The 12205-nt window shown below is 38.9% G+C and overlaps 1 long non-coding RNA gene across 1 annotated transcript in view, besides 1 other annotated feature; it reads left to right on the top strand.

The window, feature by feature from the left end:
* LOC101928272 (uncharacterized) overlaps positions 1 to 12205 on the top strand; it is a 98228-nt gene that overhangs the window by 21506 nt on the left and 64517 nt on the right. The window contains exon 4 of the long non-coding RNA NR_120635.1: positions 3643 to 3812. This is a non-coding gene — a long non-coding RNA (uncharacterized LOC101928272). The remainder of the gene's footprint in view (positions 1 to 3642; positions 3813 to 12205) is intronic.
* Positions 223 to 723: an enhancer, noted in NCBI's record as "H3K4me1 hESC enhancer chr10:9315328-9315828 (GRCh37/hg19 assembly coordinates)". NCBI's record gives its function as "activates a minimal SCP1, AML or CMV promoter by ChIP-STARR-seq in naive H9 embryonic stem cells {active_cell/tissue: H9 hESC(naive)}" and the evidence as "EXISTENCE:reporter gene assay evidence [ECO:0000049][PMID:30033119]".

Here is a 12205-nt window from a genome sequence, read left to right as displayed (position 1 = left end):
TCCCTCTCCCTCTCTCTCCACGGTCTCCCTCTCCCTCTCGCTCTCTCTCCACGGTCTCCCTCTCCCTCTCCCTCTCTCTCCACGGTCTCCCTCTCCCTCTCCCTCTCTCTCCACGGTCTCCTTCTGTTGCCGAGCCAAGGCTGGACTGTACTGCCGCCATCTCCGCTCACTGCAACCTCCCTGCCTGATTCTCCTGCCTCAGCCTGCCTGGGATTGCAGGCGCGCGCCGCCATGCCTGACTGGTTTTTGCTGGAGTGCAGTGGCGTGATCTCGGCTCGCTACAACCTCCACCTCCCAGCCGCCTGCCTTGGCCTCCCAAAGTGCTGAGATTGCAGCTTCTGCCCGGCTGCCACCCCATCTGGGAAGTGAGGAGCGTCTCTGCCTGGCCGCCTATCGTCTGGGAAGTGAGGAGCGCCTCTTCCCGGCCGCCATCCCGTCTGGGAAGTGACCAGCGTCTCTGCCCGGCCGCCCATCGTCTGAGATGTGGGGAGCGCCTCTGCCCCGCCGCCCCGTCTGGGATGTGAGGAGCGCCTCTGCCCGGTCGCGACCCCGTCTGGGAACTGAGGAGTGTCTCTGCCCGACCGTCACCCCGTCTGGGAGGTGAGGAGCGTCTCTGCCCGGCCGCCCCGTCTGGGAAGTGAGGAGCCCCTCCGCCCGGCAGCCGCCCCGTCCCGGAGGGAGGTGGGGGGCAGCCCCCGCCCCGCCAGCCGCCCCTTCCGGGAGGGAGGTGGGGGGCAGCAGCCGCCCCGTCCGGGAGGTGGGGGGCCCCTCTGCCCGGCCGCCCGGCCTGGGAAGTGAGGAGCCCCTCTGCCCGGCAGCCGCCCCGTCTGGGAGGTGGGGGGCAACCCCCGCCGGGGCAGCCGCCCCGTCGCAGAGGGAGGTGGGGGGCAGCCCCCGCCCCGCCAGCCGCCCCTTCCGGGAGGGAGGTGGGGGGCAGCAGCTGCCCCGTCCGGGAGGTGAGGGGCGCCTCTGCCCGGCCGCCCGGCCTGGGAAGTGAGGAGCCCCTCTGCCCGGCCGCCACCCCGTCTGGGGGGTGTACCCAACAGCTCATTGAGAACGGGCCATGATGACGATGGCGGTTTTGTCGAATAGAAAAGGGGGAAATGTGGGGAAAAGAAAGAGAAATCAGATTGTTACTGTGTCTGTGTAGAAAGAAGTAGACATAGGAGAATCCATTTTGTTCTATACTAAGAAAAATTCTTCTGCCTTGGGATGCTGTTAATCTATAACCTTACCCCCAACCCCGTGCTCTCTGAAACATGTGCTGTGTCCACTCAGGGTTAAATGGATTAAGGGCGGTGCAAGATGTGCTTTGTTAAACAGATGCTTGAAGGCAGCATGCTCCTTAAGAGTCATCACCACTCCCTAATCTCAAGTACCCAGGGACACAAACACTGCGGAAGGCCGCAGGGTCCTCTGTCTAGGAAAACCAGAGACCCTTGTTCACATGTTTATCTGCTGACCTTCCCTCCACTATTGTCCTATGACCCTGCCAAATCCCCCTCTCCGAGAAACACCCAAGAATGATCAATAAATACTAAAACAACAACAACAACAAAAACAAAACAAAAAAAAGAAAATGGCAGAATTTTCTGCTTTATTAAAGCTGGATCATATTTTATTGCATATAAAAAGCAGACATATAGACCAATGAAACTGAATAGAGAGTCCAGAAATAAAACCATACGTATATGCTCAACTCGTCTTCAACAAGGACACCAAGAATATCAATGGGGAAAGCAATGTCTTCAGTGAACGGTATTGAAAAACTGAATATTCACATGCAAAAGAATGAAATTGGATCCTTATCTCACACTATACACACAAATCAACTCAAAATCAATTGAAGACTAAAACTTGAAACCTGAAATGAAAATATTAAGAAGAAAACATAGAAAAAAGTTTTTTGACACTGATGTTGGCAATGATTTCTTGCATGCGACCCCAAAAGCATAGTTGACAAAAGCAAGCATAGTTGACAAAAGCAAACATACACACATGAGACTCCATCAAACTAAAAAGCTTCTGCACAGCAAAGGAAACAATCAGCAGAATGAAGAAACAAACTATGGAATGAGAGAAAATATTTACAAACCTTATATTTAATAAGTAATTAATATTTAAAATACATAAGGAGCTCCTACAACTGAACGGCAAAAAACCAAATAGCCCAATTAAGAAATGCGAAAAGGACTTCAATAGATATTTCTCCAAACATACAAATGGCCAACAGGTATACGAAGAGATCGTCAACATCACTAATCATCCAGGGAATGCAAACCAAAACCACAATGAGGTATCACCTCATACCCATTATAATGGCTATTATGAAAAACAAACAATAACAAAAGACAGCAAGTGTTGACAAGGATTTAGAGAAAAGTGGACTCTTGTACATCATTGGTGGGAAAGTGGTGCAGCTGCTATAGAAAACATTATAGAGGGTCCTCAAAAACTGAAAAACAACCACCCTATGATTCAGCGAACTCACTTCTGGATATATATGTATATACATATAATCTCCAAAGGAATTGAAAGCAGAATATTAAAATGATATCTGCACTCCCACAGTCATCACAGCATTATTCACAATAGCCAAGACACTGAAGTAACTTAAAAGTTCATTGATGGAGGAGTGCCTAAAGAAAATATGGTATCTACAAACAATAATTTTGTTTCTGATGAATGTATACATCATATTAGAATTTATATCCTTTCTAGAAAAAATAAAAGACACCTGCAAAACTCATCATTTAATTTAGGGAGAAAATACTGCTGTAAGAAGGGCAAGGCTTCATACAAAATATAGAAATAATTATTCATTTGCTCAGAATCAGGAACTCTTAGTTGGTGTCAAAGGAAATCAAACAGTGAAGACTTATTTATAATATCTCAAGAGATAAGGACACCCAGTTTATTATTATCGCTTATCTGGGTAGTTTCTTTAAAATATGTTTTATTAAGATTCATCAAATACTGACTACTGATCCACAATATAGGTGGGCTAGCAATTAACCAAATAATTTTTTCTAATACATTTGTAAAATAACTAGCAAAAGAGAATCAATATAGGTAGGCATTATGAGAACTACAGCAGCATCTTATTTATTTGAGGAGCCTCTGCCGTAATGCCAAGTACAAGACATGAGAAGCTGAGAATGTTCAGTAATCGGTTGCCAAACTTAGGAAATGATTCTGAGCTTCAAGCTGCTTATAATCTATTTGAAGAGACAAATTTAATATATAAAACCAATGAAAAAAGAATTCAGTGTCAAAGTAGTCTTCCTTATCTCTAAGGGTAAGCAGGAGTTGAGAATATGAGAAGGAAAACCTGCACCAGAATAGTAAAGACCTATGCTGATTTACAAAAACAATTTTTATTATATATTTAAAAGAATTTAAGAACTTTTGATAATACTCCTATGGGAAAAAGGGAGAAGCTGATGGAGGCATTTGCACACTAAATCCATTTTATTACTCCTAGTCACATCCAAATCACAGAATAGGAGAGGCCAGTGATTCTCTGCAAGCATCGAGGAGGCCAGTGTTTCAGGATCCTTTTTACCCAGATTATTTCCTGTCTGAAAGGAAGCAGTGATGAGCTGTATGGATTTGAGTTATTGAAACTTCCTCTTCTTGCAGAAATTCGACAGGGAAGAAAAGCAAGTCACCAGGGACTGTATCCTTGATTAGTGGCTGCGATCCTGCAACACACTTCATCCTGCCCAATCCCCATCGATGTTGGCATTTTCCTACTCAATTGATGTCCTCATATTTTCCCTGCTCCATCTACACACCATATATTTCCTCAGGTTAGTCCATAACTCTTATTCTTTTCTCCTCTTGCTTGATCTGTAAAATAATTTGTACTCACGTGTTCACATATCATAAGAAATAATTACACTCAAGGTCAAGATCAAGTGAAATTGCTTACATTTCTTCTCTCTCTCTCTTTTTTTTTTCTCCAGGGCTTTACAATTGAACCCCATGGATTGTCCTTAATTAGATTTTAGAGGAATCACTTTTCTAATTTCTGGTTTCATATATATAACCATTCACAAGCACACATATGTGTATGTACATGCATATACACGTAGAGAGGCAGTTCACTTATGTATGTATATATGATGTGTGGGTGTGTGGGGGTGTGTGTATGATTTGTGTGTGTGTGTTTGTGTGTAATATATAACGCTGGCACCAAAAATGGCTGTTGAAGTCTCATATCAGGTAATTCTAAATGAATATCTGAAATGGCTAAAAGGCTTTTGTCAGTTAGATAATTCATTTATTTATCATCTCATTTTTTTTCATTCATAAGCAAAGCCTAATGATTAGGGTGGCTTGAGAATTTTCTTTTCTGAGAGTTGTAAGGACGCAAAAAGAGCTCCACCCATCTACCTGAGAAGAAACTGTGCTCCTAAATAAGTGAGTTCTTTTAGAAAAAAAGAGAATATATTGCATGTAGAGTTTGTTAAACTTTGCATTTCAGTCAACAGCCACCTAGAGATATCAGTTTCACCTGTATATACATGGAATATCATAGAATATAATACTGTGCTCCACAACTGCCTCCCCTAGCTTCTGTGCCCTCTTTGTTCATCCCTCATCCACATTCTCACCCCAGGCTGCACATCTACAGAATAAGTTCCGAGTCTGTCATTTGGGGAGGGTAGAAACAATGTCTCATTCATTCGTCTTAGTGTTCCTACAGCTTAAAATACAGTCAGTGTTTATTTATTTTTACTTTTTATTTTTTAACATTTATTTTAGTTTCAGAGGGTACATGTGCAGGTTTGTTACAAAGGTAAATGCATGTCATAGGGGTTTGTTGTACAGATTATTTCATCACCCACGTACTAAGCCTAGTACCCAATAGTTATTTTTTTCTGCTCCTCTCCCTCCTCCCACCCTCCACCTTCGAGTAGTCCTCAGTGTCTGTTGTTCCCTTCTTTGTGTTCATGTGTTCTCATCATTTAGCTCCCACTTATAAGTGAGAACATGTGGTATTTGGTTTTCTGTTCCCGTGTTTGTTTGCTGAAGATAATGGCTCCCACCTCCATCCATGTCCCTGCAAAGGACATGATCTCATTCCTTGTTATGTCTGCATAGTATTCCATGGTGTATGTGTACCATATTTTCTTTATCCAATCTATTCTTGATGAGCATTAGATTGATTCCATGTCTTTGCTATGGTGAACAGTGCTGCAATGAACATTCATGTGCATTTGTCTTTGTGGTAGATTTTATGATAAAGACACCAAAAGTAATCGCAACAAAAGCAAAAATTGACAAATGGGATCTAATTCAACTTAAGAGCTTCTGCATGCCGAAATAAACTATCAACAGAGTAAACAGAAAACCTACAGAATGGGAGAAAATATTTGTAAACAATGTGTCTGAAAAAGGTCTAACATCCAGCATCTATAGGGAACTTAAATTTACGAAAGAAATACATCCCCATTAAAAAGAGGACAAAGGACATAAACAGACACTTTTCAAAAGAAGATATACATGTTCCCAACAAGCATAGAGTAGATGTTTAATCACTATGTATTGAAACTTATGTACCTGAATAAAGAATTTAATAATCACGTTTTGCAATAGCTCTATGCAAAACAGCATTGTGACGAGGTTGGGAGCAAGTAAAGGGTTGCAGAGGATGCAGCAGCAGGGAGTCAGGGGATTACATAACCCACCCTGGGCATTAGTCCATTCTCGTCTGACTCCCTACTTCTTCTGGCATCGTGTTGGCTAGTCCTACCTAGTCTGCACACACGATCTCTTTTAACACTAATGACCATATTGCTGGTAAGAATTATTACTCATGTTTTACTGCCAATAAAGCACCCAATGGATACATTTCACTCAATAAAAAGCATCCCTCTTCTCCAACCATTAAACAGTTTCCTACTTATTTCCAACTCAAAATAATCCCTCTGCTCACTTAGGCTATATCCCAGAAGTTAGTATTCTTTGCAATTCCCACCTTGTATTGAAAATATATTTTCCCGGCTGGGTGTGGTGGCTTACGCCTGTAATCCCAGCACTTTGGGAGGCTGAGGCAGGTGGATCACGAGGTCAGGTGTTTTTGAGACCAGCCTGACCATCATGGTGAAACCCCGTCTCTACTAAAATACAAAAAATTAGCCAGGCATGGTGGCGCGCTCCTGTAATCCCAGCTACTCAGGAGGCTGAGGCAGGAGAATGGCTTGAACTGGGGCGGGGGCGGGGGTGGGGGAGGCGGGGCGGAGTTTGCAGTGAGCCGAGATCGGACCACTGCACTCCAGCCTGAACAACAGAGCGAGACTCTGTCTATATATATGTGTGTGTGTGTGTGTGTGTGTGTGTGTGTGTGTGTGTGTGTGTGTGTGTGTGTGTGTATTTTCCCACAGGTCTAGGAAGTCACCCTGCAAATAGGAGACTTAGCCTGATATCTGATATTCCAGAATTTCAGAGGCCTCTTTCTTCATGGCCCGTGGTTGTAGTAGAGACACTTGTTGGATACGTGGATAGATGGATGGGTAGATATTTGAGTAGGCACAATACAGAAAGGTGAATAATGACTTCTACACATTTTTAATATGCCCAGGTCTCAATATGATTGTGCGTCAGAGTCTGATGTATGCCTGTTGTGTTGCTTCACCACCTCACGTGTTCTTACACGGATGTCTGAATACATATCATCAGACTCTCCCAGGCTCTGAGAAGTAAAGGCTGAGTTAATGGCCCCATGCTTCAATCCACTCCTTTACTCTCTCTGTTTGAAAGAATGCGATTTTTATTCTAAATACTCGTTAAACTTCAGAGCTCTGAATTCACCCCAGAAACATCAGAGTCTACTTTTCATTTTATCATATAAACTATATACAGCAAATTCAGGACCATGCAATGTTCCCCAGGCTCTCACATTTCATTGTCCTACTAAATCTAATTGAGGCAAATAATTTTTATATCTCTTCATGATGTAAAGAGTTTCCTTTTCTTGGTTTCATTTTTTCAAAGCATATGTGGTCATTCAATATATCAAATTTGAAATTTAAGGAAAATTATCCCCTACATGTAGATAATATGGAAGATTTTTAAAAAAATAACCATATGGATTTTAATTTGGCACAAATACCATGTATTTCTATACAGGGTGAGTTAAGGTGTATGCTTCTCAAGTTCACATCATTCTTCATGGTCTTGTGACTTAGAATTAAAGCTGAAATATCACCTGCTGAGCTCCTTGTCCCACTTTTCTCCACCTTCTGTATGAATAAAATCCCATTTTCCTTCTTTCATAATTCAAAGAAACTGACATATTTAATCAGAGATAACAGATTTTATTAGACCAAAGGCATGAGGAAAAATATCCAGGTGTTACTCCTCAACTGCAATTAATAAAGTTTCATGGTGGTTCAATTCATTAGGACAAATTAAGAGTCTGTAATAAATCCTTTAATTAACTTTCTAACTTTCAGCTTTTTTAAATGATTAATGTTGCTTGTACAAAGGAGTCTACTGTGGCAGGAATGACCAGGAACATAATAAGCAAATCCAATTATTATATTGTCAAATGAACCTGACTTCACACTGGACTCAGAGGACCATTCTTAAAAAAATTACACAAAATAAGCTACTTAAATAAGTATCTGATTAGTGTGAGAAAAAATATCCAATAGCTTAACAAATTTCATGGATTTTTATACATGAAGTATCCTGGCTGCCTATTTATTATATAATGGTGTTTTCTATGTAATGGTCAATGTTAAACTTATTTTTTGTTGCATATAAATAGATTTATATTTAATAGAATAGATATAGTAACATCTGTATAGCATTAGATTTATAGACTTAAAATTGCCTAGCCACTTCACATAAATATATTAAATATTTTACCATTACTTTCTGGATGATTAAGAACTAAGTTATTTAGATAAATTACCAAACTTCATTACTTTAAATATGCAGTCTTAAGGCTTCACTAAAAAAAAAAAAAGATACAATTGAGCATTGTGAAAATAGCATAAAATTTGTATGTGTTTTTAGCATGGTTTTTATAAGACATTTATTTTCTTTCTGATGGCACAAGATAACATATAATTATTAATAGCATTCATCTTTACTGCTACATTTGAAAATATGTAAACCTTAGTGCATAACTGGCATTCCTTTTCTAACCCCTATAATGTTGGTTAAAGAGACCTGGGTTTTCTGTTACTAAAAAAGTTATTTTTAAGTTGCTGGCATTTCTTGTTTGTTATAACCACACTTCCCTTTTAAAAAATTAATATATCTTAGTGATTTGGCAGAAAGCATAGCTATAAAAATACAATGCAACTATTTTACATTTATAATATTTTTCTTTTCTAAAAATAACTTTGGTTAGATCTCTAAAATTTGGTTTATTTTAGATCCATAAGCATTCAACATATTATAGTAAAAAAGTTCACTATCACAAAACTGCTTAAATGAATGAACTCATACTCATAGAAATATATGTAATGAGAAGGTTGTAATTCTCAGCAGGAGTTGGTCACTAAATACAGTAACAGAAACAAGGAAGGAATTCTGTCTTCAGGAAAACTGATTATTCTAAAAAATTAAATCTGCCAATCAAGTTAGTCCTTTGCATAGTAAAGCTGTTGATAATCTGAAATCTACCTAATACAATTAGTTTAAAAGTTTGTATAACCTCCGATGGTGGTAAGTATTCCATATAAGTATAATAAACAATGCTTGTCTGCTTTAAAAGCCAGCAGAAAACTTACCTTTTCCATACAGCTTTTCGGGGCACCCTTATTCATTCCCAGATGTAAGATGAGCAAACCTCTCCTGATCTTCACTCATTGTCATCTTCATTACATAACTTTTCTGTGTTACTGAGATACAGCAACCATTATATATTTGTATCTGGGATCCTAATTATTGTGTTACCTTACAGTTCTATTTCCTATACTTTTCACATTCCATCTTAGTTTTTAAATATTTATTCATTCCATAAATATTTATATTCTATTATATATACACTAATATAAATATATATTTATATACATTTCCTTACATCAACCACATTTTAAAAAACCCCACTTTGGGAGGCAATGAGATGATTTAAAAGTAGCTACTACTTGTCTCAAAGGGTTTGCTACCTGAACAGGAAGAAGTGCTGGGGATTAAATAGGTAGTAACTGTGCATTGTTGAACACTGTGCAAGTAATTAGGGTATTCAGAAGGCATCAAAATTTTTTATACTGAGGCAAGTAGCAAAATAGGAGCATCCAATTTACATTTTACAAAGGAATAGAAGAAGTTGGCCATGTAGAAATATTAAAGAAGACAGTACCAAGCAGATAAAACAGAAACGACCATAAGGGTGGAAGTTTAAGGGGACAGAGAATAATTTGGCTTGAGAATGTGAGTCTTCATAAGGGAAAGAATGACGAGATAGCATGCAGTAAGTGGGACTTGGTGAAAACGTTAAGTTTCTTGAGTATGAAGATAAGAAATTGGGACTTTGAGTCAAATGCTAGCTTTGTGTTCCACTGCTGACTCTTCAAAACTATAATTTTTGAAGGTTGAACTATAATTTTATATTTTCTGTAAGCTTCTGCACATTGTACTCACATACTTGGGATCCACTGACTCCGACCTTCCTCTAGTGATGTAGCTAAAATTTGGGGAATCATAAGTATACCAGATCCAATGTTTCTACACAGTATTAAGAAATGATAGTCAGGGTAAACCTTCAATAGTTGGTATGCCTGCCAAAAATTTATCTAAATATACCCGGTCACTTTGCCCTACAAGTTCGCTTAGAAATGTTGATAAAGCAGGCTTTCTACAGAATGGTTATTTCCTTTCTAACTTGCACGAAACAAAATTTACTCTGGCAATCAACTTTTCACCTAGTATTTTGACATAAGTACCGAAACTAGAAAATCAATGATGCACAGACAGATTTCTGTTCCCCTTCAATAAAAATCTGGCATTATTTAATATTCGGGTTAACAACAACAAAAAACCTCAAGTAATCTTGCTCTGTAGTTCTTATTTTCGCTCTTCTTTCATTCAATGTTAAATGAGCAATTACTGCATACTAGATACTGTGTCAGATGACAGGACTACCAAAAGGGATATGTCCCTGACCTCAAGGACCTCTCCTTGGGTAGAGAGTATGCACAATGAAATAGTGATAATAAATTGTGATAAGCACTACAGCAGGGATATTAAATATTAAATACTTGCTGAAAGCCCAAAGGAAATAGCTATTGCTGCATGGGTTTGCTATTACTACTGAATGTCCATTTGATAATGTTTTAATAATCATATTAATCAGGATAAAACAATCCATTGATTCATATAAACTTCCTTTATCTCCGTGTTGGTAGGCAGCAGCAATATGTTTCACAACTATGTTGGTTTAAAGCCCTTTCTATTAAATATAAGGTCAAGTAGAGAGTCAAAGGGAAACCTGTGTGCTATGCTTAGCCCCCAACTCCTCCTCTTTGTCAGTGAGATTATGCATCCCACGTGGTCTGTTTCCTTAGATAACTGAATTATGATGGACATGTCAATCAGACAAGAAAATTATTGGCTTATTAACAGCTTACTTTATAAATTCTGACAGCCAGTCCCTATACTATTGGACACAGTAGTTTATGCAACATTTGCTATGCATTTGCTGAAGATTTAACATAAGTCATTATTTCAATGTCTAAGTCCTTATAAAGTCTAATTGAGAAATAGAAGTCCCAAAGCAATGAAGATTTATATCATTCGCCCTAGGTCAAAAACTGATCTTTATAAAAATGGAATTCAAAATCTTCATTCTTCTATTAGAAAATGAAGTGAAACTCTGAAAACTTCTAATACCTTTCCCCCAAATGTATCACCCTACATTTTTCATCTTTTTATTAAGCTGTACAGAGATATTTAATAGGACTATTCTTGTTTGCTTTGTATACAAAGCATATTCCACTTGAACATGCTTATTCCACTTGAGCAATCCTTAGAGTTGGCAAATTCCTAACACTATGACTTTTGTTCTCATTGACTGTTATTTGTGTGGCTCTAACACACCTTTCCATAGTTAGAAAGATAACAGAACCATAGAAGCTGACACACAGACTTGGAATGATCCTTATCTCTGGTGTGGTAATACGATGCTGCTGTGTGACCAAGGCTCTGGGAAACTTACCTCAAACCCACATATCAACAAGATACTGGATCTTGAATAACAAATTAGGGGCCTGGGAGTGAAAAGCAGAGAAAGCATTCTCTTCAATAATACAAAATCACTCCTAGAGAGAGGCTTGTCCTCTGTGAGCACAAAGGTCTCCCTTTGGGTGCCCCTATAGACAATCCCCTTTGAATTTTGTGAAAAGTTTTAGCTATTTCTCCCAGAAGTCAAGTTCATTTCAGGAAGAGAGTTTATAATCTTCTCTTATTTTTCTGGCTACAGCTTTCTCCCAGCCAAGCTATTGGGGAAAATGGTGTCTAGAAATATATGGGCTGCTATTCCAGGGTCTCCAAGCCTTCCACTGTGTCCATCTGAACTTAGTGAGTCTGTATTCTTTCTTTTCAGTGATTCTGCTCTGTTCCCTGAAGCTGTTCTGTGAACTTCCGTTTCCTTCCTATTTTGAGATGTTATGATTTAGGAGGTTAAAAATATAGAAAAAGTACTTTATGCAAAGGTTAATAATATTTTGTTAAGTTTCCCAGGCTGGTCAATTCATAAGAGGCAGGAATTTGTGCGTGGAACTGTATGCTGAAGTTAAACCAAACCTAAACCCATCCAGCAGGGGGAAAATACTCCTCTATGGTTTCTAGCTTGAGAGGATATAACTAATATGGTCAAGTCTCTATGTGAGCAAATTAGTTCTTTAATTAAATACTGATATACATAAGCCCTTTAAAAGAAAAGTGACCATAGAACAGATTAAAGCATTAAGACTTCTTGAATTTTCTTAATTGATGACTTTTCAAGCAGATGCCATGTTTCTGTGGTAATCTAGCAATGTATGGTCAATTAGTCTTCATACATGCATGTCCTAATCCAAAATCAATTTATTTAACGTATCAGATTCCTGAATATAAAATCACCAATTTAGCTACAACACAGTTAGCTTTAGACATGAACCTGTATCCTAAAAATAAGTTTGGGGTATGGAGAATATTTTGTTTATGAATCTTGTACCTGTTCATGGTCCTAAATGGACTGAAG

This window comes from Homo sapiens, chromosome 10 (assembly GCF_000001405.40).
Source record: "Homo sapiens chromosome 10, GRCh38.p14 Primary Assembly".
Lineage (NCBI taxonomy): Eukaryota > Metazoa > Chordata > Mammalia > Primates > Hominidae > Homo > Homo sapiens.
Note: the sequence above shows the minus strand (reverse complement) of the source record. Positions and strands in the feature narration are given on the sequence as shown.